Source organism: Homo sapiens, chromosome 13 (assembly GCF_000001405.40).
Source record: "Homo sapiens chromosome 13, GRCh38.p14 Primary Assembly".
Taxonomy (NCBI): domain Eukaryota; kingdom Metazoa; phylum Chordata; class Mammalia; order Primates; family Hominidae; genus Homo; species Homo sapiens.
The window spans coordinates 52,128,823-52,151,073 of record NC_000013.11 but is presented as its reverse complement, the minus strand read 5'-3'; the positions used below and the strand labels follow the sequence as shown (position 1 = coordinate 52,151,073).

The window sequence follows — 22,251 nt, the reverse complement described above, 5'->3', positions numbered from 1 at the left end:
TCTGACGTCACTTCAAAACAGATGCATGGATCATATTGGTTTCTAAGAAATATATCTGAAAGCAGAAATATATCTGGAATCTATATTGCTAATCTATATTGCTAGGCTGCTAGATAAAAGTAATAGTTTTCCAATTGCTATTAATTATAGCTGAGAGGAGCAAATGCTGAAAGAAAGGCTAGTCATTTCTAGGGACGGTATGAATTATATCAGTGGTTCCCAAACTGTTGCTCCCACTTATAAAAATCCCAAATCCCAGGTTGCGTCTACACTAATTAAATCAAAATGGCAAAGGGTGAGAAGCAGGCATCAGTAATTTTTCAAGATCACTGGGTGATTCCAATGTACAGCAACATTTGAGAATGAATAGATTGTGTCATTGAGTTGGTATTTATAGGGCTAGATTATAAGGTAAGTTGATTGCAGGAGGTTAATATGAAGATCTTAATGATTTAAAATGCAGTATTTTTTCTGAATATAAGTTATATGTGCCAATTGTGGGGATGGATGTGCAGGGAAGATTGGAAATAGACCTGTAAGAAAGGACATGGAAATCACCCACTTTTCTTAACTGCCAATAACATTTTGATGTTTTTTTCTTCATTTACTTTTCCCCCTAAAACTGGTTGATATATTTTATATATAATTTACTTTAGTCGTTTTATATTATAGTCATTTCCCCACATACTTAAACTCTTCATAAATTTTCTAATGGCTACATATATTTTACTATATGGCGCTTCCAAAATTTACTTAGTAATCCCTCTGTTGTTGGCCTTATATTTCCACATTTCAGTCTCATAAACAGTGCTGTAATTAACATACCTTTTGTCTAAATTTGTCCTTGTTTTATGTGACATTCTTGGCATGGATTCCTAGGAGGAGAAACACCTAAAGGCTGTTGTTACTTTTTGCTGACTTGCTTTCTGAAAAGGGTATGACAATCTATACTAAATAGGTTATTTTAAGAGTAGAATTGACTGAATGGGGACAAAACAGCTCTACAGGGACTTATTGGGACAATTGGGGAAATTTGGGTATGCAGTAAATTTTAAATAATGTTACCGAATTGAGATTAAATTCCTTGGATGTGATAACAGTATTGTGTTTATGAGGGAAAGTGTAGGTCTTCGTTCTTAGGAGATACATGCTGATGTATGTAGGGATGAAGTGTTCAATATCTGCAACCTTTTTTTTTTTTTTTTGAGACAGAGTCTCACTCTGTTGCTCAGGCTTGAGTGCAATGGCACAATCTTGGCTCACTGCAATCTCTGCCTCACGAGTTCAAGTGATTCTCCTGCCTCAGCTTCCTGAGTAGCTGGGACTACAGGCGCCCGCCGCCACACCCAGCTAATTTTTGTATTTTTTAGTAGAGATGGGGTTTCACCATATTGGCCAGGCTGGTCTCAAACTCCTGACCTTGTGATCTGCCCGGCTCGGCCTCCCAAAGTGCTGGGATTACAGGTGTGAACCACCATGCCCGGCGGGCAACCTTTTTTCAGGAGATTCAGATAGATATAGAGGAGGGAGATTAGCACGCAAACATGGCCAATGAGAATGATTGGGGGACCTAGATAAGGGCATGTGGACATTGCAACTTTTCTGTAGATTTGAAATTTAAAAAAACTAAACGGGGAAATAGTTGGTAAAAACCATTAATTAAAATAAAAAAGAATATCATTTAGAAAAGTCTGGAGGAGCTGGGCCTGGTGGTGTGTGCTTGTAGTCCCAACTACCTGGGAGGCTGAGGCAGGAGGATTGCTTGAGCCCAGGAGTTCAAGGCAGCAGTACAGTGACATCATGCCTGTGAATAGCCACTGCACTCCAGCCTAGGCAACACAGTGAGACCCCATCCCTTAAAAAAAAGAAAAGGTGGGCTGGGCGCGGTGGCTCACACCTGTAATCCCAGCACTTTGGGAGGCTGAGGCGCGCGGATCACGAGGTCAGGAGATTGAGACCATCCTGGCTAACACGGTGAAACCCTGTCTCTACTAAAACAAATACAAAAAAAAAAATTAGCTGGGCGTGGTGGCGGGCGCCTGTAGTCCCAGCTACTCTGGAGGCTGAGGCAGGAGAATGGTGTGAATCCGGGAGGCAGAGCTTGCAGTGAGCCGAGATTGTGAGGCTGCACTACAGCCTGGGCAACAGAGCAAGACTCCATCTCAAAGAAAAGGAAGAACCCTATCCCTTAGAGCCATCCAGCAGACTGTGTGGGAAGTAGAGAGCTGCCAGCAGGAGATGTGATCAAAGGCTGGGTGCTGTGTCCAGGGTGGTCGGAATAGAAACTACACTGGATGCCTTCCAGAGTCCTTCTTCCAGCTGTGATCATCTGAGTCCGCAAATATTCCCTCTTGCTACTGAATTCCCAAATGCTACTGAAGTGATATCTCAACTGCCCCAATTTGAAGGGGGTGGGGATTGAAAAGCAGAGAGTTTTATTGTGAACACTACTCTTAGGAAGTATCTAGGTGTTAGACCAACATTATATGTTTTAATACCTAGGAATTACTTGTGATATCTATTCTTATTAAAGGTAAGAAATTATTTTTTGTACTAGAAAATACGTAACCTGCTTGTGATTACATTGCTTCTTTATGCTTTCAGTGACATCTGGTCCTTGGGTTGCATCCTGTATGAACTCTGTACCCTTAAGCATCCAGTAAGTATGGCGTGCAAAATGGAAAAGGCAGCTTGTCATATCTAGCTGAGCCCTAATAATGTGACAGATTCTAGTTGGCAGTTTGCTTCCCTAGGATGAAGTCATTATAAAAGTTTGTATATGTTTCCAGTGCAGTCATCTGCCCTGAGTTAGTTTTGTAGCATATACTAATAGGAAATTTCCATTATTCAGTTTGGCTGTGCAATACATAACCTTTCTCTCTCTTTCTTTCTCTTTTCCTCTTTTCTTTCTTTTTGCTATTCTTAATTTTTTATTTTGATAAAATAAATATAAAATTTGCCATTTTATCCATTTTTAAGTATACAATTCATTGTCATTAATTACATTCAAAATATTGTGCAACCACCACTATTATCTCTTTGGGGGTTTTTTGTTTTGTTTTGTTTTGTTTCGTTTTTGAGATGGAATCTTGCTCTGTTGCCCAGTCTGGAGTGCAGTGGTGCAATCTCAGCTCACTGCAACCTCCGCCTCCTGGGTTCAAGTGATTCTCCTGCCTCAGCCTCCCAAGTAGCTGGGACTACAGGTGCATACCACCATGCCCAGCTAAATTTTTTTTGTATTTTTACTAGAGACATTTTTTTTGTATTTTTTTGTATTTTCCCCCATGTTGAGCAGGCTGGTCTTGAACTCCTGACCTCAGGTGATCCACTCGCCTCGGCCTCCCAAAGTGCTGGGATTACAGGCATGAGCCACTATGCCCGGCCACTACTATCTCTTTGTAAAACTTTTGTCATCACCCCAACCAGAAACTCTGTACCCATTAAATAGTTGCTCCCCATTTCTTCCCTTTCCCCAGTCCCAATCTAATTTCTGCCTCATGAATTTGCATATTCTAGGTATTTCATACAACTGGAATTATAGAACTTTTGCCCTTTTGTGTCTGGTTTATTTCACTAGCACAGTGTTTTCAAGGTTCATCCATGTTGTAGCATCTATCAGGATTCCATTCCTTTTTATGGCTGCATAGTATTCCATTGTGTGTATAGACATGTTTATCCATTCATCTGTTGAGGGACACTTGGGTCGTTTCTGTCTTTTGGCTATTGTATATAATGCTGTTATGAACAAATGGTGTACAAGTATCTGTTAGAGTCCTTGATTCCAAATTTTGAGGTTTACATTTAGCAGTGGAACTGCTGGGTCATATGGTAATTGTATTTAGCTTTTTGAGGAAACAGCAAACTTTGCAAGAGTGGCCGCGTCATTTTTTTCCTCAGCTTTTTGCAGTTAGATTTCACTTATATGAGTTTCCTCTCTAACTGAAACATCATGAAAACATAGACTTTGCCCTATAATGTGTTTTTTCAAGATATTTTTAAAAATATGAACAAAAAAAGGTTAAATAACTTGTCCCGCTTGTTCAGCCATTGTTTATTATATAGAACAACAACTGCAGGGCCAATTCCTATTAGTTCTTAGCTTTGCATAGAAATAAATTCTGTTCTTTGGGCACAGGCTGAAGGTTAGCTTTTTTACAGATGTACTTGAGGGCACATAGAGCTCAGGAGAGGGTGAATGGTTGAGAAACAATCTTCACCACTACCAGATGAAAGTAGCTCAAACTGAAGACACCTGGTATTAATGAGAGGTTATCTTCCTTGAATATAAGTGGTTTATAATGATAGCTACACAGTTAGAACAACTTGGGGAACCTTTAAAATGCTGATGCCTAGGCCCACAGCACAGTGATTGAATTAAAATCTCTGAAAATGTCCTGGGCATTAATGTTTTTAAAACAGGTGATTACAATGTACAGCCCAAGTTGAGAACCACCATAGTCTACAAATAAAATTATTTTTAAAATTCCAACATCTTACAATTCTTTACTTCCTGATGTATCTTTTTCATAATTTACATGTATACGTTCTTCTTTTTTCCAGCAAGAATGAGTATTAAGGACTATAGTGCCCTGAATATTTGGCATGAGATCTGTCATCCCTTGTCTGCTCGAAGACAAAAGTTGTTCTCAAACCTTTAGGAAACACAGATAGTTGGTGTAATGGTTAAAAAGCCAGAGGCAAAGCAGATTCAGTAGTATTTGTCATTATCACAATCTGTCCTTTGTTATGTGTTGATTTTTCTTTTTCATATATTCACTTACATTTTATATTCATAGGACAATACACTTTTTAAAAAATAAACTTCTTTTAAATTTTAAAACAGTTTTAGATTTACAGAAAAATTACAAAGATAATACAAAAAGCTTCTATATACCCCACACTGTAATTAACATCTATCATAGCCTTGAGGTGTAGAATCATTTCTTAAGCAAGATTCGACAAGCAGAAATTATTAAGGAAAAATGATGAATAAATTTGACTATACTAAATTTTAAATTTTGCATAGCAAAAGATACCATAAATAAAAACATAATATGCAGATCAGCAGAAAACATTTTCAAACGTAACTAGCAATGAATTAATAAAATATCTTATTTAAAATTTTTATTTTAAGTTCTGGGGTACATGTTCAGAGTACGCAGCTTTGTTACATAGGTAAATGGGTGCCATGGTGATTTGCTGCACCTACCAACCCCTCATGTAGGTATTAGGGCAATACACTTTCAAGGTAGAATGCTAACACATTCTTTCATAAGCATTACCAAGGCTGACATCTAATGTTAGTTCTGATATATTTATTATACATGGAAAACTTTAAAAATGTTACTCCAGTCTGTCATTGTATATCCCACGGTGTTACTCATCAAATTTTCATAGCTGCTTTAATGACAGGAATGGTTAAAAAGGATTTTGCAGTAGAAGTTTAAAATTGGAAAAGTCTGGCCAGGTGCAGTGCCTCATGCGTGTAATCTCAGCACTTTGGGAAGCCAAAGTGGGAGGATCGTTTGAGCCCAGGAGTTCAAGACTAGCCTGGGCAACATAGCAAGACCCTGCGTCTAAAAAAAGAAAAAAAAATTTAAAAATTAGCCAGGCGCGGTGGCACATGCCTGTAGTCCCAGCTATTTGGGAGGCTGAGGTGGGAGGATCGCTTGAGCCCAGGAGGTCAAAGATGCAGTGAGCTGTGATTGCACCATCACACTCAAGCCAAAAAACCACCTGTAGAAAACTGGGTAAGTCTGAAGTGCATGTTGCTATGGAGCAGGCCTGGCAGTTTCTGGGAAGGGCTGGAGCAAAGGGATATTACACTTATTATAAACCTTTAGTATCAGTTGATGTTTTAAAAGGCCATGTGTATATATTACTTTGATTTTCAATATATATTAATAATGTATATCTGCAAAAAACATTAGGACTAATAAGGTAGTCACAGCAGGCATTGATGGAAATACTTTTTCTAGATGGGGAAGCTTTTTATCATTCATGTTTAACTTTCTCCTAAGCCACCTTAAGATTATATAATGGTATCTTAAGGACACCTCTAGAAAGAAAAATGACCAGACAGCAGATATGTTTATAAAATTAGAATAATTTACATAACTGGTAGTTTCTTGCTTCCATTTCTTCCCCTGTATCTGCTTGTAAAGTTCAATTTTCCTTTTCAGTTTCAGGCAAATAGTTGGAAAAATCTTATCCTCAAAGTATGTCAAGGGTGCATCAGTCCACTGCCGTCTCATTACTCCTATGAACTTCAGTTCCTAGTCAAGCAGATGTTTAAAAGGAATCCCTCACATCGCCCCTCGGCTACAACGCTTCTCTCTCGAGGCATCGTAGCTCGGCTTGTCCAGAAGTGCTTACCCCCCGAGGTATGATCTGTGTTGGATTGGTTGTGAACAGTTTTCAAGTGTATGGTAAAATGGTTTGTTATCTTTTAACATTATACATTACATGTGCTCATCAAAATCCAAATGATACAGAAGTATATTAAAAAATAAAAAGTTAAAACTTCGTTTCCTTCCTCTTCCCGCCCACAATGCTATTCCCCAAGTATAATCACAGTTTGTATATCCTTCCAGACCTTTTTTAGACATATATAAATGTCTGCATTTGTCTATCGAAATTATATGTACTTTTTTTTCTTGAGATGGAGTCTCGCTCTGTCGCCCAGGCTGGAGTGCAGTGGTGCGATCTTGGCTCACTGCAACCTCCACCTCCCTGGTTCAAGCAATTCCCCTGCCTCAGCCTCCCAAGTGGCTGGGGTTACAGGCACACGCCACCACGTCCAGCTACTTTTTTTGTATTTTTAGTAGAGACGGGGTTTCACCATGTTAGCCAGACTGGTCTCAAACTCCTGACCTCAGGCAATCTGCCTGTCTCGGCTTCCCAAAGTGCTGGGATTACAGGCGTGAGCCACCATGCCCGGCCTGTATGTACTTTTTAAAGTGGTACTTTTGTTTTTCAACTTGAAATATTATTGTGCTAAAGAATGCTGATGATGAAATGACATCACGGCAGTATCTATAGAAAAGTATGTTTTCACATCTCTAAATTCTCAACTTTAAATTTCAGATCATCATGGAATATGGTGAGGAAGTATTAGAAGAAATAAAAAATTCGAAGCATAACACACCAAGAAAAAAAAGTAAGAATTTTGACAGAGTATTTTTTGTTAAGTGCTCTTTTAAAAATATACTGTAACAGAAAAGAAATGTATAATTTTTAAGTTATTAGAAATGATTATCGGAGATACTCCTCAAATGAACCTTTTCTTTTTGTTACTTTAGATGTAATTCTGTACTGAATACTTTTTGATCCCTGAAAAAATTGGGATTTAAAAAAGCCTAGTTTTGGATATTTTAGTGACGGAAAGATTATGCTGTCATTATTAGTTCCATATTTTCTCTGGCTTGTTGTGTAGGTCAGGTAGAAGGCTTCTTCTGTTGCCTGACCTAAGAATCTATCCATGAAAATATAGCACTAATCTTGTAGGAAAATGTATCCCAAGTTTCTGAAGAACCATCGTATAAACAGACTTTTAAAAAGAGAAGCTTTTCTAATGTAAACTGTGGACTCTGGGTGATGGGTGGTAGTGATGCGTCGGAGTAGGTTTATCGACTGTAATGGTGTGGCATGTTAGTATTGGGGAGGTGGTATGTGTGTGGGGACAGGTGGTATATGGGACTCTCCGTATTCACCACTCAGTTTTGCTGTGAACCTAAAACTGCTTGTTTTTTTTTTTTGAAATGGAGCTTCACTCTTGTTGCCTAGGCTGGAGTGCAATGGCACAATCTCGGCTCACTGCAACCTCTGCCCCCCAGGTTCAAGTGATTCTCTTGCCTCAGCCTCCCAAGTAGCTAGGATTACAGGCATGTGCCACCATGCCTGGCTAATTTTTTGAATTTAGTAGAGATGGGGTTTCACCATGTTGATCAGGCTGGTCTCGAACTCCTGACCTCAGGTGATCCACCCACCTCGGCCTCCCAAAGTGCTGGGTGGATCTGCTCTTAAACAGTAAAATATCCTAATTAAAGACAAAAACCAGAGCCTTTTCCAAAGCTGTGAATCATCCACATAATAGCTACATGAAATTTTCATACATCTATAGCCTATCCTGAGAAAATATCAAATTTAATTTATTGTCTCTTTGGAAGTTGTCATCTCTGAATTTTTTCAAAGCTATTTTTATTCGCTTTCATTTCTCATCAGTGATTTCCTTCTGAAGAAATCCAACAGAGATAGTAGCTATGAATGGAATACAGGAGAAGAATTAAGAAGTGTAGGAGATCATTCACTGCTGGGACATGTTGCAAAACCTCTATTGCCTGGTGCTCTTTATCATAATGTTATATGCAGATACTACAAAAGAAACATTTTGAGAACTGTATTGTTTTCTTAAACTTAACTTTTAAGTGTTGTTTTTGGAAGGATGCAAACCCTTCAGTCTTATAACTCAACCTTTTCTCCATTAGTTAAGAGATAGCGGCTGGGCGCAGTGGCTTACGCCTGTAATCCCAGCACTTAGGGAAGCCGAGGCGGGTAGATCATGAGGTCAGGAGATCAAGACCATCCTGGCGAACATGGTGAAACCCCGTCTCTACTAAAAATACAAAAAATTAGCTGGGCGTGGTGGCAGGTGCCTGTAATCCCAGCTACTCAGAAGGCTGAGGCAGGAGAATGGCGTGAACCTGGGAGGTGGAGGTTGCAGTGAGCCGAGATTGCGCCACTGCACTCCAGCCTGGGCAACAGAGCGAGACTCCGTCTCCAAAAAAAAAAAAAAGAGATAGCCAGTTACCTTTGTTTTACCAGTTTGCTTTAGCATAGGTGTTATTCTGTGGCTTTTGTTCACATCTCAAGGTAGTGGGAAATTAGTTTTAAAATGCTGGGCAAGAAAAAAAGAGACAAAAAAATTTCAAGGTAGTTTGGAAGAATGTAGGGTTTTTTTTAAATTAACTTTATTTTATTTTATTTTTGAGACAGAGTCTCACTGTGTCTCCCAGGCTGGACTGCAGTGGTGCAGTCTCAACTCACTGCAACCTCTGCCTCCTGGGTTCAAGCAATTCTCATGCCTCAGCCTCCAGAGTGGCTGGGATTACAGGCATGCGCCACCATACCTGGCTAATTTTTTTTTTTTTTTTTTTTAGTAGAGACAGGGTTTCACCATGTTGAGCAGGCTGGTCTCAAACTCCTGACCTCAGGTGATCCACCAGCCTTGGCCTCTCAAAGTGCTGGGATTACAGGGATGAGCCACCGTACCCGGCCAAAAAAGTATAGTGTTACAGTTTCTAAAAAGAGGAATAAGTAGTTAGAGAAATGCCACCAGACTGGGACCATATGTCTGATGGCATCTCCAGTTTAATCTGTAGACAGACCAGAATAATGAAATGGAACAGGGCAGGGATTGCATCTGATTTGCTCACTCTTGTATTCTCAGTGCATCATCATCCATGTTCAATAGCAATTTTTTAAAACGTTGAATGAATAAGGGACATGAACCACTATGAGGCATAGCCATTCCTACCAAAGGGATCAATTGCCAGGGTTCTCTCCTGACTCCTCCTGCTGGTCTCTTCTGAGTTAATAAACAGCTCACTTCTTTTTAGGGATACTTATTCCACCAGCTGTGATAGCTAACAGGAAAAGCACGGACTCCACTAGCTAGCATGCACCAAAGGGGAAAATAACCTTAAGTATGCAGAGTATGTTACCTCTTAGTGCTTAAATGGGTTGGCATAAGTGAATAGAGATGTCTTTTAACTTTTGGATTTTAACTTTAGGAATGAAACAGTGGAAATAGCCTCTTTCAATAACTGAGATGTATTATTAGGTGATTAAAGCTTGTTATTCCCATTCAGGATATCAGAGAGCTTTGGCTCTTTGACTTTAATAACCTCACTCACTTCTCCAGCTGTATGAAAATCATATTAGGAACTTAATAGGATGATCCTTTATGTGTTTTATCTTTCTACCTTCTCTCTCTCTTTTAAAAGCAAACCCCAGCAGAATCAGGATAGCTTTGGGAAATGAAGCAAGCACAGTGGTAAGTGCTTTAAAATTACTTTTATGAGGCCGGGCGCGGTGGCCGGGCGTGGTGGTGCAAGCCTGTAATCCCAGCTACTCGGGAGGTTGAGGCAGGAGAATCAAGTGAACCTGGAGGCGGAGGTTGCAGTGAGCCTAGATTGCGCCATTGCACTCCAGCCTGGGCGACAAGAGCGAGACTTCATCTCAAAAGAAAAAAAATACGTTTATGAAATATCTACCTCCTGGATACCGGGTTACCCTTAAGTGCCATAAGATATTTGGAAGACTGTGACCTGGTCCCTCTAGTTAAGTACTTCTTCCTTCATTTTTTGGCATGGGAAATAACTGGTAGCTGTTCATCTGCACTGTCAGCTGAGCCACTTTAGGTCGCCATTTATTGTTTATTTTTCCATTTATTATTATTATTATTTGAGATGGAGTCTTGCTCTGTCACCCAGGCTGGAGTGCAGTGGCACCATCTTGGCTCACTGCAAGCCCCGCCTCCTGGATTCATGCCATTCTTCTGCCTCAGTCTCCTGAGTAGCTGGGACTGCAGGCACCCGCTACCATGCCCAGCTAATTTTTTGTATTTTTAGTAGAGACAGGGTTTCACTGTTTTAGCCAGGATGGTCTCGATCTCCTCACCTTGTGATGCACCCATCTCAGCCTCCCAAAGTGCTGGGATTACAGGCGTGAGCCACCGTGCCCGGCCTCCATTTTTGATTATTGATGATAGTGGTTTCAATACAGATGTGGAAGAATTTTGTCTTGCTTTCAGTCATGAAAATCTTGTGTTATCCTGGCTTTTTTTTTTTTTTTTTTTTGAGATAGGGTCTCACTTTGGCATCCAAGCTGGAGTGCAATGACGTGAACATGGCTCACTGCATCTTCGAACACCTGGGCTCAAGTGATCCTCCCACCTCAGCCTCCCAAGTATCTGGGACTACAGGCATGTGCCACCATGCCTAGCTTTTTTTTTTTTTTTTTTTGGCATTTTTTTAAAGAGATGGGATTTTGCTATGTTACCTGGGCTGGTCTCAAACCCCTGTGTTCAAGTGATCCTCCCGCCTCGGCCTCTTAAAGTGCTGGGATTATAGGTGTGAGCCATTGGGCCTGGCTGCTTTTTGGTTCGTTTATTTTGAAACAGAATCTCCCTCTGCCACCCAGGCTGGAGTGCAGTGGCGTGATCACGGCTCACTGCAACCTCTGCCTCCCGGGTTCAAGCAATTCTCATGCCTCAGCCTCCTGGTTAGCTGGGACCACAGGCACGAGCCACCGTGCCCAGCTAATTTTTTGTCTTTTTGTAGAGATGGGGTTTTGCTATGTTGGCCAGGCTGGTCTTGAACTCCTGACCTCATGTGATCTGCCTGTCTTGGCCTCCCAAAGTGCTAGGATTACAGGCATGAGCCACCACACCTGGCCTGCTTTTTGTTTTTTTATGGTGGTAGAATATACATAACATAAAATATGCCATTTTAGCCAATTCTGAGTGTACAATTGAGTGGTGTTAATTACATTCATAATACTGTGCAACCATCACTACTGTCTATTTCCAAAACTTTTTATCATCCCAAACAGAAACTCTGTACCTGTTAAGCAATAACTCCCTCTTCCACCACTGCAGCCCCTGGCAGCCTCTAATCTCAAATCTGGTAGCCCCTGGTAGCTGCTCAAATCTTTGTGTGAAATTGCCTATTCTAAGTATTTCATGTAAGTGGAATCATACAATATTTGTCCTTTTATGTCTGGCCTCTTTCACTTACATAATGTTTTTAAGTTCTTCTGTGTGTCAAAACTTCATTCCTTTTTATTGCTGTGCTGAAGCTGAGTAACATTTAGATTACTATTTAGATCTTAACATTTTTCTGTTCAATGCTTTGTAGCACCTCCTTGTTATCCCAAGAATCAATTTTCAGGCTGGCATTCGGGGTCCTGTTCATCTAGCCCTGGGCAACTGTGACATTCTTTTACACTGAAGCTTCCCTAAAGCTGTGGATATTAACAGCCGATCCATGTTTCAGTGTTGTCACACCCCCCTTAGCAAATTGTGTACTATTGATGTTTTTTTCAGTATTTCAGTCAACCTTTCTTTCTTTCCTTCTCTCCTTCTCTCTCTCTCTCTCTCTGTTGTCTAGGCTGGAGTGCAGTGGCGTAAACACCACTCACTGCAGACTCAACCTCCTGGGCTCAAGGGATCTTCCCACCTCAGCCTCTTGAGTAGCTGGAACTACAGGTGCATGCCACCATGCCCGGATAATTTTTTAACTTTTTTATAGAGATGAGGTCTCACTATGTTGCCCAGGCTGGTGTTGAACTCTTGGGCTTAAGTGATCCTCCCACCTTGGCCTCCTAAAGTGCTGGGATTTATAGGTGTGAGCCACTTCACCTGGCCTAACCTTTCAATTCAAAAAGGAAAAGATGTTGTATGACAACAAATTGCTCTCTTCATGGAATGTACTAGTAATTAAACTTTTAAATTTTTTGAATGAACCATAGGTTCTAAATAAATAACAACACCCCACCATTATGTTGCTACAAATGGAATACAGACCTCTATACTTTTTTTCTTTTCATTGTAATGTCTGTTTTTTCCAGTTTTTGAGGTATAATTTACATGCCACAAAATTTACCCATTTTTATGCACAATTTGATAAATTTTGGTGATGGTATTTAAATATCCATATAACCCCTGCCACAGTCATCATATAGAACTTCCAGGTGGGGCAGAGTGGCTTACGCCTGTAATACCAACACTCTGGGAGGCAGAGGCAGGAGCATTGATTGAGGCCAGGAGTTTGCGTCAAGCCTGGGCAACACAATGAGACCCCATCTCTACAAAAAATTAAAAATTTTAGGTGGGCATGGTGGCACATGCCTGTAGTCCCAGCTACTGGGAAGCTGAGGCGGGAGGATCGCCTGAGCCTGGGAAGTTGAGGAGGGCAGTGAGCTATGATCGCACCTCTGCACTCCAGCCTGGGCAACACAGCAAGACTCTGTCTCAAAAAGAAAAGAATTTCCATCCCCTAAAATGTTTCCTTGTGCCCTTTGCAGATGATCTGTGCCCACACGCTATAGTTTGATACCACCTGTAGTGAACACAGCAATATGTGTTCGCAAAATGAAAAGGGTGCAACATGTAAACAAAATGGAGAAAAGGCCAAAAAGTCAGTCAGGGAATGGAGGACTTGAGGTAGGAAAACTTGTGTGCAGGCCAGCAAAGGACGATGGCAATGAAGGCAGAGTTGAATAGCGCCCAGAGGAATGTGGGAGGCTGCTGCAGACACAGAAAGCAGTGATCCTCAATGGGAAGGAAAGACTGGAATCCCCTGGGGGGCTTTTCACAGCTGCCCCTCACCACTACTCCTCCAAGATTCTGATGTCATTCTTGAGTGTAGGAGGCTTTGAAATCTCTGCTGTAAGTGAGCTACCACTGTTAAGTGACAGATTTTTATGTTCCCTACATGTGTGGGAAGAGAAGTTTCAGAACCACTGCTTAGAAATAAGAAAACCCGCCATGCCACCCAAGCCTACTCTTTCTTTATTCATTCAATAAATATTTGAGAATTTGTTTGCCTGGGACTGTTTAGGCATTCAATATGTACTTCTTCTCAAAGTATATGCAGATTTAGTAAACCAGATAGTGTATTACTATATTTCACGAAATAAATCAAGGGCTTAGATAATTTGGAAAGATACTGAATTAAGTGGGAACATTTTGATTCTATATGGCAACTTTATAAAATATCTCATTTTGATATTATAGTTTGTAAAGCCCAGTACGGCAAACCATATTGAAATTTTTCATTAGTCTTTTCCTTAGTAAAGACTTACCAAATAGCTGTCATTTTAATATATCCTCTTCATATTTATAATAATTGATATTAATGGCTATTAATGTGTATGTCTATTAATATATACATGTATGTAGGTTTTTGGTTAATGTACATATATATGTTATTAAATACATATAGATATATATGGCTATTAATATACATGTCCTTGGGGTTCTATGATTATTCATGTATTTTAATCCATTAATTTTTATTTGAAATTAAAATGGCTGACTTTGCATATTTGTTTACCTTTTTGTGGCAATTCAAGCATTATTTAATCTGTATTGTTAATCTCTTTTAAAGCAAGAGGAAGAACAAGATAGAAAGGGTAGCCATACTGATTTGGAAAGCATTAATGAAAATTTAGTTGAAAGTGCATTGAGAAGAGTAAACAGAGAAGAAAAAGGTAAGTTATTCAAATTCTAATCATTTCTTAGGTGAGGAGTTGGGGAATACCAATTTTTATGTTACTAGGTCTCAGATATCATAAACAAGAGTACAAGCTGATATTTGTTTGCTTATCTAGTAACTTATTTAATGTTTTAGGAATATTTTATTTACCTACAACAAAAGAGAGAATAGCATTTATCAGTAAGAGTCATTAGAAAGAGCAGTATTTATTGTGCTATCCACCATAAAAAGCATAGCATACTGTGTGTATGTAAGTCCTCCCAGGGCTTCATTCTTGTATAATATAGAATATGTAACTATATACATATTATTTTTTTAACTCAGTCACTGTAATGGTTCGTTTTAATTTTTCATTTTGGATTTTTTTTTAAATTTCCTTTGCTACTTAGATTAGAAAGAACATTGATCTTTCAAACATAGATCTGAATATGAAAGAGAAAAGAAACACTTCCATATTTGTTAGAGTCTATGTGTGGACAGAGATGGATACATAATTTCACATGCTTGGCATTCCTTTTTCACACTTTAAAATCAGGTAATAAGTCAGTCCATCTGAGGAAAGCCAGTTCACCAAATCTTCATAGACGACAGTGGGAGAAAAATGTACCCAATACAGCTCTTACAGCTTTGGAAAATGCATCCATACTCACCTCCAGTTTAACAGCAGAGGACGATAGAGGTTAGTAGTCAGATTGAATACTATTATTTTATTAGAGAACTTTTTCTAATAGTTACTTAGTGCACTTAGAGCCTTTTAATGTCTGTGAAGGGTATTTGGCGTCACACATCAGAGCATTGCTCATACAGGTGAATGAAGCAGATTTTAGTTAACAGTCAAATATAACTAACTTCGCTTGAAAATATGATCTGGAAAGTACATGCTGAAAAATCTTTTTTTATTCAGCACTAATTTTTGTCTTTTTGCAACTAGGTGGTTCTGTAATAAAGTACAGCAAAAATACTACTCGTAAGCAGTGGCTCAAAGAGACCCCTGACACTTTGTTGAACATCCTTAAGAATGCTGATCTCAGCTTGGCTTTTCAAACATACACAATATATAGACCAGGTAATTCATGTCTGTATGTGACCTTGGAAACCCTTTGACTTTTTGAAAATTGTGGCAAATATATATAACATAAAATTTACATTTGAACCATTTTAAGGTGTACAGTTCAGTAGCACTAAGTACGTCACATTGTTGTACAGCCATCACCAGTTTCCATCCACAGAAATGTTCTCATCTTCCAAAACTCAATTCAAAGGGTTTCCCTCCTCCCAGAAACGCTTTGATTTCAAAGTTATAAAGTAATTCATAGCACTGTATTTTTAGGTGTTTTTTAATCTTTTCTAGCCAGTCTTAAGCTACAATTAAAATTTTTCATGGAGCTACATTACTTCTGTTTGCTCATTTGTTTGCTTATTTTCATAATCCTGCTACTACTTTCTTTGAAGAGGAGCCCATTTTTATCATGCAAATATGCCATTGCTTTAGCAACAACTCCAAGATTTCTTTTGTTGTATACCTGAACTCTGTTACATTGAATAGAGCTCAAAAAGGATGAACAATTAGGATTTGATTTTTAAATTTTTTTACAGATATTTTTACTAACATTGTATAAAATAATTTTTTTATAATACTCTCCTTAGGAATCCAGGCCAGTGGTCTGTATTAGATATGTATATGTGTATGTGTATTATAATTATAATAATTTAATTACTAAGCCATCTTGCTAGGTTAAGATCTAAGATAGATTATACCAAGTAGAGCATGTAATGGTATGGCAAGTCTGACTCTATTTATTGCAACGATGTAGTTGTATTTATTTGGTCAGTATTTATTGAATGCCTAACAAAGGTTAAGATAAAAAAAAGAATAAAACACAATTCCTGCCCTAAGGATGAAGGAGTTCTTTACGTGGGAGGTCAGCACACTGATAAAGAATTATAGTGCCCTGTGATACATGCATTCAGATAGAGCTGTGCACAAAAGATCATGGAAGCCCTAAGGAGAGGCTAATGCATGGGAGGAAAATGTTAAGGAAGTTTAACGGTTATGAATTTCAATTTTGCAATTTTAGGTCCTGGATTTTGTGTCTGGTCCAGTGATGAAGTCTTTGTCATTTTAGGAAAGTCCCTGTTTAAAAAATATGTCATAGTGCTATTTTGAAATGCCTTTTAGAAGATTCGGCCCATGTTTTTAGGTTAGGTTTTCATGCTGTTTGTGAAAAATCTAAAAGTAATTATACCTGGAAAATTTTTTTAAGCATGCATGTGGTCTTCCTTCAGTTCCCTACTTTTCTTCCTCCCCATTGTGAAAACTTGGGAGGAGAAAGTTCAAAGGAAAAAAGAAATTACTATAACCCAACTTCCAAGGGTAACTTTTAATGCCTTAATATACATTCTTATATTGGGAGGGTTTTATGGCAATTTTCCGAGTTTTTTTTTTCTCTTAAAGAAAATCCTGTTTATAGGCTAGCTGTGGTGGCTCACGCCTGTAATCCCAGCACTCTGGGAGGCTGAAGCAGGAGGATTGCTTGAGCTCAGGAGTTCAAGACAAGCCTGAACAACATAGCGAGACCTCGCCTCTACTAAAAAAATTAGCCAGGCATGGTTCTGGACACCTCTAGTCCCAGCAACTTGGGAGACTGAGGTAGGAGGAGCTCTTGAGCCTGGGAGTTCGAGGCTGCATTGAGCTATGATCATGCCACTGCACTCCAGCCTGGGTGACAGAGTGAGACCCTGACTCAAAAAAAAAGAATAAAGTACTGTTTATAAATTTAGTCCACATCCCAGTGCTTCTGCTTCAGGGGCCTGTTTTATGCCTACAATCATGTTGGGTAATGTGGGGAGACACTACAAAAGAGTTATGGGACATGGCATTGTCCTCAGCCAGCAAGCTTACGGAGGATTTTAATCAAACTGCATGAAATAAGTAAATACTGTTTAAATTGGTATATTTTCTGTTAATATCTCCTGAAGGTTCAGAAGGGTTCTTGAAAGGCCCCCTGTCTGAAGAAACAGAAGCATCGGACAGTGTTGATGGAGGTCACGATTCTGTCATTTTGGATCCAGAGCGACTTGAGCCTGGGCTAGATGAGGAGGACACGTACGTTGTGATATGCATAGAAAGCTGTAGCTGGGGTTGGGGGTGTGTGTGTGTGTGTGTGTGTGTGTGTGTGATTTAAATTAGACCATGATAATTTCAGATTTAGTAGGGACCTCTTATATTACTTTTCATCATAAATGGATATTTATATCCTGATCTTTTGTCTGGGATGGGTAATGCCTTACAATATGATTATAAAATTCCTGATTGAGCCCTACACCTATAGCCTTTCAGCTTGGACTTGTTATTTTTTAATATATTAGGATTTATATTTTTAAAAGTTTTAGAAACAGTCAAAGAAGTGATCTTTTGGAAGAACTGGCAATTTTTTCCCTTCAGTTGCCTTATGGAACTCAATTTTCAAAAGCTTAAGTATTGTTATGGTGGTATTCCGCTTTGAACTCATCAACAGATACTGTGCCCCTAATGTAGAGGTTTATGGTCCAAATTGTTTTTTCACAGGGACTTTGAGGAGGAAGATGACAACCCCGACTGGGTGTCAGAGCTGAAGAAGCGAGCTGGATGGCAAGGCCTGTGCGACAGATAATGCCTGAGGAAATGTTCCTGAGTCACGCTGAGGAGAGGCTTCACTCAGGAGTTCATGCTGAGATGATCATGAGTTCATGCGACGTATATTTTCCTTTGGAAACAGAATGAAGCAGAGGAAACTCTTAATACTTAAAATCGTTCTTGATTAGTATCGTGAGTTTGAAAAGTCTAGAACTCCTGTAAGTTTTTGAACTCAAGGGAGAAGGTATAGTGGAATGAGTGTGAGCATCGGGCTTTGCAGTCCCATAGAACAGAAATGGGATGCTAGCGTGCCACTACCTACTTGTGTGATTGTGGGAAATTACTTAACCTCTTCAAGCCCCAATTTCCTCAACCATAAAATGAAGATAATAATGCCTACCTCAGAGGGATGCTGACCACAGACCTTTATAGCAGCCCGTATGATATTATTCACATTATGATATGTGTTTATTATTATGTGACTCTTTTTACATTTCCTAAAGGTTTGAGAATTAAATATATTTAATTATGATTTAGTAATGTGTGCAGTTTTTCAATATGACCTGATTCTGAGTAGTTTGAAGATCATTCCAATGATCTTCACCAACTACCAGCTGTCCTTAAATACAGTCCCTCATAGGATGCACAAAAGAGCCTGGGTTGGAGGGTCAGCCCTGGGAAGCTTGGGGTGGTCTGCAGATCTTGTCAGAAGATGGCAGTCCTGTAGATGAGGAAGGAAGAGGCCAGAGGTGAGGAGCAGTTAATGGTAAATATCAGAAACTAGAGAGTGATGTGGAACGAATAGGAGGAGGCATGGCGCACACGTGCTGGGTCCTGTCGTGTGTGAACCTCATCTAATAGTGTGCACTTCAGTGAGATGAGAATATTTCACTAAAGAAACAGGCTTCGCTCAACACCTCTCAAAGAGACGTGAGCCAGCCAAATACAGGGAACGGTGCTAAAGTGAAGAGTAGGGGGAAAATACATTTAGGGTCATTAACAAGCAGTTGCTGAAATCTGGAATATATACATCTTTTAAAGATTTAACAGTTTTTAAATCTTAACATGTAAAACCTGTGGTATAGAACCAACCCTCCACCTCACACATACGCTGTATTTACATTTAGATATCTTTCATCTCCAGTGGTCTCTGGCAGTCTCTAAATCTTTCCTTGTTTTTCGGGACCTTGACATTTTTGAGTACTGCTTAGGTATTTTGTAGACTGTTGCTCAATTTGGGTTTGTCTCACAATTGGACTAAGCTTATGGATTTTGGGGAAAATCACAAAGGTGAAGTGCCCTTCTCATCACATCATTTCAGGGAGCATCAGCATGACTTCTTCCTGGTGTCGTTCACCTTGATCACTTGATGAAGGCAGTGTCTGCCAGGCTCTTCACTATCAACTTCATAATTTTCCATGTTCATGCTGTGTTCACTATAAGTGAGTCACACACTCCAGCTCATAGTCAAATGCAAAGGAATTAATCTCCACCTCTGGGGGTGGGAGTATAATCCAATAATAAGTCGTTTGTTTTCTTGCTTAAATTGTTCTAGCTTTGGCCGTTGGGAATTGTTTCAGGTCACCTCCTGTGTCCCTTTGAGGTGCGCTGGTTCTTTTGGAGCACTTCCTTTCTGGCACTACAAGATGGTCCAGACTCATCTTTATCTTCTCTGCCCCAGCCCCAAAATCATCCATTTCAACAAGGTTCCCACTGGTTTAGAAACCAAGATCTGGGTGCTGGGTGTGCTTATTGCTCCTGGGGTGTCACTGCTTCTAGGCCCTCTCAGCAGACAGAGCTAGGAAGTATATATGTGTATACTAACCTGTATACACTGTATAATTGTATATCCATCCAGACATCTCTACAGTTATTTCTGTATCTCTCCATCTGTACATACATTAAATTAAGCATGGGTCCATACTGATGTCTCCAACTAACCCAGTACTACAAGGTTCATTCTAGCCTTCTTCTCACGCTTTTCTGTAACTTCTCTCCCTGACAATGAGAAAACTGGCTTGTACCATCCGCCATCTGCTTAGCTGTTCAATCCTAGTCTATTTGTAAAGCAGTTTCCAAATCATTAACCCATACCCCTGGGAGAAACAAATTTACCAACTAAGGTACAGAGTTTATGTATCTTTCCTATTGTCTCATAGTTTCCAGTCAAATACCATTTCCCAAAATTACTTGGGTTAGCTCTTTGAAATTAGCTTACTACTCTCTTGAAGATTTTTCAAGTTAAAGCAGGCATGGATAGTTTTAAGGACATTTCCAGGTACTCAGCTTCCATATATACTGTATTCCATACCTCTTAGTCATCTTCAATCTTGGCATTGCCCAAGGGCATAAACATTTCAAAACCATCAAACAAAAAAAACTTGAAATTATGTACAGTTACTGAGAGACTGGATAAGTATTGGATAATAAATCCTTTTCAAAATCAGAATGGCTTATGGGGTTTTGCTTTTAATAAAATTTCAGAAGACTAATGGAATTATCAGTTCATGATTATAAACCAGTTTTGGTGACAGATTACTATATGATTCTTGAGATACAACTAGACAAAAATTGAGGGACACTTTTAACAAAACTTTTCATTCCTATGTACTTATTTCTCAGCACTTACAGCCTTAAGAAAATGGAAGAGAATCAGTGTTAAACTTCATTGTAGCAAGAAGTTAGCATTCATCTATGGATACAGGAACTAACGGTGCATGGGAAGCCCATCCAGGTCTTAAAGAGATGAATTTTCAATACAATTTTATTTTTTATATTTAATAATTATCAGTATTGTGATACATTTTATTGTGATCAATTGTGTAGTACTAGTAATTTTAACAATTTAATCCAGAAAAACTAAAATTCTATGAGCAGGAAATATAAATTTCCATTTCTGTACTTCTTTCAGCAGTATGATAGGATGATCAATAAGACTTTCAAGTATGAAAAAGATAACGGGTAAAATTCTATCAGGAAAGTAGAATGAAGATATGATTTAATGAAGCATGTCTAAGAATTCTAGGGAAGAAATTTGGGTGTGGTCACTGACACGTGTAATTAAACAAAAACAAGTAGATCATATACCTACTAATATTTTGAGGGAATTTCACTGCCAAAGAAACTAACATTGGATATTCCAACTGCTAAACAACTTTTGGACTCCTGCTACGGGCTGCATTCACCCCCGCCGCGGCCACCCCCAATTCACACACTGAAATCTAACACCAATAACTAATAATGAGACTATATTCGGAGACAGAGACTTTAAAGATGCAATTAGATCAAAATGAGGCCTTTAGTTCAGCCCTAATCCAACTTGACTAGAGTGCTTACAAGAAGAAGAAATTTTTTGTGGCAGGGACGGGGAGGGGGCGGCGGAGAGATGATTTTAAGAAGGAAGAGTAATGATGTAAACTTAGGATTTTTAAGAGTTTTTTGTGGGTTTTTTTTGTGTGTGTGTGTGAGGTGGACGATGGAGGGTACCATATTACTGTAGTGTTTCGATTCAGTTGGATATATTTAACTTGCGTCACTATTTACAATTGCTGAAAATTACATTTTTTTCAACTACTTAAACATTTTAGACAGCAGCTTGATGTGCAAATCCAGAATGGGGCAGGGTGGGATGAGCACTGGGCGTGAGTGCAGACGCTTGGGCAGCGCCGGTTTCGTTAGAAAGTCCCTTGGCAGGCCGCCGCTGTGGCCCAAAGAGTAGGAAGCCGTTCCAGTCTCACGTCCACCTTTTGGCAATATTTGAGACCTTGTACAAGAAACACTCTTCCTGTATCAGTTTAGCTCATTTGTAAAACTGGGAGACTACTGCCTTGACGGGTTGTAAAGAAAAGAGAGAACGTTTGCGAAGCGTCTGGTGCACCTTAAGCAAGAGCGGGGAGCGCTACTGTAGACTGCAAAGCAAAGGAATCCCGACCCAAGGCAACGGGACGGTTGCGGGGTGACTCTGCCGGGTCTCCAAACTCCCTGGCGCCTGACCCTGCCTCGAGGTGGACTGGTCCCCAGGCCATTCCAGACCCGCGCCCCGCCCGCGTTTCCTTGCGCGGCTCCGCCCCGGCCGCAGGGAGGCGCAGCGGCCCCGGGAACCCGGATCCTTCCGGGACGCTTCGTTGGCCCCGCGGAGCCGGCGGAGCAGGTACGCTTGCAGGGGCCGCCCTTAGTTCTTGCCCGGAGCCGCCACAGGGCTTCGGGAGCTCGGCAGGGTGGGGGAAAGGGATGGAGTTTCGGCCTGGGGCGGCGGGGGCGGCCCAGAAAAGGCCTAGCGTCCTGGGCTGTGTGGGTGTAGCGTCCAGGGCGCGTCGGTCTCTATGGCAACGCTCCACACGCGGAGGTCGGGTACGG

General features: G+C 40.0%; 2 protein-coding genes and 1 long non-coding RNA gene across 29 annotated transcripts in view, besides 1 other annotated feature; 2 read left to right on the top strand and 1 right to left on the bottom strand.

Annotated features, from left to right (window-relative positions):
* NEK3 (NIMA related kinase 3) overlaps nt 1–18,427 on the top strand; it is a 27,214-nt gene extending 8,787 nt beyond the window's left edge. For 9 of the 14 annotated variants that reach the window (NM_001424259.1, NM_001424257.1, NM_001424254.1 and 6 more), the window contains 9 exons: nt 2,605–2,659; nt 6,183–6,383; nt 7,087–7,159; nt 10,005–10,054; nt 14,172–14,274; nt 14,815–14,958; nt 15,211–15,345; nt 17,259–17,385; nt 17,848–18,427. In NM_001424259.1, coding sequence (NP_001411188.1) covers nt 2,605–2,659; nt 6,183–6,383; nt 7,087–7,159; nt 10,005–10,054; nt 14,172–14,274; nt 14,815–14,958; nt 15,211–15,345; nt 17,259–17,385; nt 17,848–17,932 — 973 coding nt within the window. In that variant the 3' untranslated portion in view covers nt 17,933–18,427. The remainder of the gene's footprint in view (nt 1–2,604; nt 2,660–6,182; nt 6,384–7,086; nt 7,160–10,004; nt 10,055–14,171; nt 14,275–14,814; nt 14,959–15,210; nt 15,346–17,258; nt 17,386–17,847) is intronic. The other 5 variants (NM_001424270.1, NM_001424271.1, NM_001424269.1 and 2 more) reach the window with 2 other exon arrangements.
* Nucleotides 17,524–18,723: an enhancer, noted in NCBI's record as "BRD4-independent group 4 enhancer chr13:52706487-52707686 (GRCh37/hg19 assembly coordinates)". NCBI's record gives its function as "activates an origin of replication core promoter dependent on BRD2, P300/CBP, MED14 and CDK7 cofactors, and independent of BRD4, by STARR-seq in HCT116 cells {active_cell/tissue: HCT116}" and the evidence as "EXISTENCE:reporter gene assay evidence [ECO:0000049][PMID:35650434]".
* Nucleotides 18,351–22,179, bottom strand: LOC101929657 (uncharacterized). Its single transcript, NR_110306.1, has 2 exons — nt 19,017–22,179; nt 18,351–18,616 (listed from the first exon to the last, which is right to left on the bottom strand). It is a non-coding gene; the product is annotated as an uncharacterized LOC101929657 (long non-coding RNA).
* The window catches only part of NEK5 (NIMA related kinase 5), a 95,463-nt gene continuing 95,212 nt past the window's right edge, over nt 22,001–22,251 (top strand). For 10 of the 14 annotated variants that reach the window (XR_941575.3, XR_941574.3, XM_047430291.1 and 7 more), the window contains exon 1: nt 22,001–22,251. Coding sequence is in view for 8 of the 14 variants with exons in the window: in XM_047430291.1 (XP_047286247.1) it covers nt 22,126–22,251 (126 nt within the window). In the remaining 6 variants the exon portion in view is untranslated. The other 4 variants (XM_047430292.1, XM_047430293.1, NM_001365552.1 and 1 more) reach the window with 1 other exon arrangement.